The sequence below is a fragment of the Homo sapiens genome, chromosome X (genome assembly GCF_000001405.40).
Source record: "Homo sapiens chromosome X, GRCh38.p14 Primary Assembly".
Classification (NCBI taxonomy): domain Eukaryota; kingdom Metazoa; phylum Chordata; class Mammalia; order Primates; family Hominidae; genus Homo; species Homo sapiens.
The window spans coordinates 45,890,961-45,893,736 of record NC_000023.11 but is presented as its reverse complement, the minus strand read 5'-3'; the positions used below and the strand labels follow the sequence as shown (position 1 = coordinate 45,893,736).

Here is a 2,776-nt window from a genome sequence, read left to right as displayed (position 1 = left end):
TCTAATTATAGCCTTTATTTGTGTTTATATACCCAATTTCACCCATGTTAATTAGTGGTGTTTTCAAAAAAATCATTAAGACAGAATCATAAATAATAATATCTAACACTTACTGAGCACTTAAATTGTGTATGAAGCACTATAGCAAGCAATTTGCATACATTATTGTCTTAGTCAGTTTGGGGTGTATAACAAAGTACCATAGACTGGGTAGCTTATAAACAACAGAAATTTACTTCTCACAGTGCTGGAGGTTAGAAATAGATCAGGCGTGGGTTCTGGGGAGGGTCCTCTTCCTGGTTGCAGACTACCGATTTCTCCTTGTAGCTTCACATGGCAGAAAGAGAACTACAGAGCTCTTTGGGGACTCTTTTATAAGGGCACTAATCCCTTTCACTAGGGCTTCATCCTCAGGACCTAATCCCCTCCCAAAGGCTCATCTCCTCATACCATCACAATGAAGGTTAGGATTTCAACATCTGAATTTTGGGGGGACATAAACATTTAGTCCATGACACTTAACTCATTTAAGTCTCATAACAATCCTTTTGGAATAGTGTCCCTATTTTACAGTTGAGAAAAAAATAGTTTGAGAAGGTGGTTGCTGAGGGCTGTAGATAGGAGAGAATGAGAAATTATTGTTTAATGCGTATCAAGTTTCAGTTTTGGTAAATGAAGAGAGTTCTGGGGATTCATTGCACAACCATGTGAACACACTAAACACTACTGAACTGTACGCTTAAAAATGGTTAAAAGGGTACTATGATAGTTGCATAGTTCAGCAGATTGAATCATCAAGAGATTTAATATTTGTCTGATGTATCTGGGACAATTTTTTTTAATGGTTAAGAAGGTAAATGTTATGTTATCTGTATTTTACCACAATTTTTTTTGTTTGTTTTTTGAGACAGAGGCTGGAGTGCAATGATGCGATCTCACCTCACTGCAACCTCTGCTTCCTGGATTCAAGCGATTCTCCTGCCTCAGTCTCCCGAGTAGCTGGGATTACAGGCATGTGCCACCACGCCTGGCTACTTTTGTATTTTTATTAGAGATGGTGTTTCTCCATGTTGGTCAGGCTGGTCCTGAACTCCCAACCTTAGGTGATCTGCCTGCCTTGGCCTCCCAAAGTGCTGGGATTACAGGCGTGAGCCACCACGCCCAACCTTACCACAATTTTTAAAATAAATAAATATTACAAGTTAAAAAGGCTGGAAGCATCTAAACCAAGATAGAAGCAATGATTATATTTAGAGAGTACAAATGGAACAGTTGTTATATTTAGAGGTACTATTGGGGTGCATCTTATCTGGTGCACTTTTCTCTATTTACAAATGTACACAAATTTACAATAATAAACATAAAAATAGTTGAGAGGGGATGAAAGGGTTGATACTGTGTGAAATGCCCCACAGGGGACACCAACATGTCCATTTCTGGAGCCGTCTTCTCATTTGTTTCCCAGCTCCTGCCGTGCCCTCCACATCACTCTGTTCACAACCAGCCATCTGGGTAGGTTGATTGGCTTTCTAATGACTGTTAGTCTCCAGTAGCCCAGAAGAAATAAAGTTGTTGTGGTTACTTTTAGCAATCTATAAACCCATTTAACAATCCAACTTATGTAATCTCATCATCTCCAGGAGCTAAGGCCTACGGTTCTGGGCTTTTTTGTCCCCACTTTGCTCAGGGCCCTACAACTGTGTCCCCACAAACAATCAAATAATATACTTTGGTCAGGTCCACAAATATGTATTGAGCAAGGCCTATACACAAAACAGGAACCAAGAGTGTTTCCTGAGGCAAGCTCACATCTCTTTTGGTAGGTCACAGGGGGAGTCCTTTGGCCCCCTTCCTTGGGTTCCAGATCAAGACGAAAGAGACGAGCCCAAGCTGTGGCTGCGAGATCACAGATTGCCCTGTGGGCGATGCTGAAAATGTTGGATTGGAGAGGAAGACAAATCCTAATAACTTTGTAGACCAGACTCATCTCATATTAATGAGAGGTTCCTACATTTGGCAGGCATTGGCCAATTTAGGCTAGAGCTTGGGATTTCAGCTTCCAATGTGTATGTATACATAAGGATCATTAGGTAATAGGTGCACGTAAGAAAGTATTATTGCAAGGTGGAGGAAACTATTGCAACAGGGAGGATGCTCCTGACCGTAAGATCTGCAAGAATCCCCCATAAAATGTATTTTAATACATGCAGTTTATCAGCATCACATACTGTCCAGAATTATCTAAAATTATTTTATTGTCAATCTTTGTAACATACCTATAAATATGTTTAATCACACAGTTGAAAGGTTTGAGGTATACGAAGATAATGAGATGTGTCCAAAACTCTCTCTTATTCATCAATAGATCAGAGGATGGAATTTAAGCTTTCTTACTAATATTTAGAACACACCGATCGGGCATGGTGGCTCACACCTATAAGGCTCGCTCGAGCCCAGGTGTTCGGGATCAGCCTGGGAAACATGCGAGACCCCATCTCCACAAAAAATGCAAAAATTATCCAGGTGTGGTGGCATGCCTGTGGTCCCAGCTACTTGGGAGGCTGAGGCAAGAGAATTGCTTGAGCCCAGGAGGTTGAGGCTGTGATGAGCTGTGTTTGCACCACTGCACTCCAGCCTGGGTGACCCAACAAGATCCTGTTTAAAAACAACAACAACAACAACAACACAAACAAAAAAAACACACCACACACACACACTGAATAGAAAAGAGGGGAGATAGCAAGATTTGGTAGCATTAAAAATTGAGACAATGCAA

At 40.9% G+C, this 2,776-nt stretch overlaps 1 non-coding gene across 1 annotated transcript; it reads left to right on the top strand.

Annotated features, from left to right (window-relative positions):
• Nucleotides 1-757: 757 nt before the first annotated feature.
• On the top strand, nt 758-825 carry LOC124900502 (small nucleolar RNA SNORD77). The gene has a single exon (XR_007068431.1). It is a non-coding gene; the product is annotated as a small nucleolar RNA SNORD77 (small nucleolar RNA).
• The last annotated feature ends 1,951 nt before the right edge of the window (nt 826-2,776 follow it).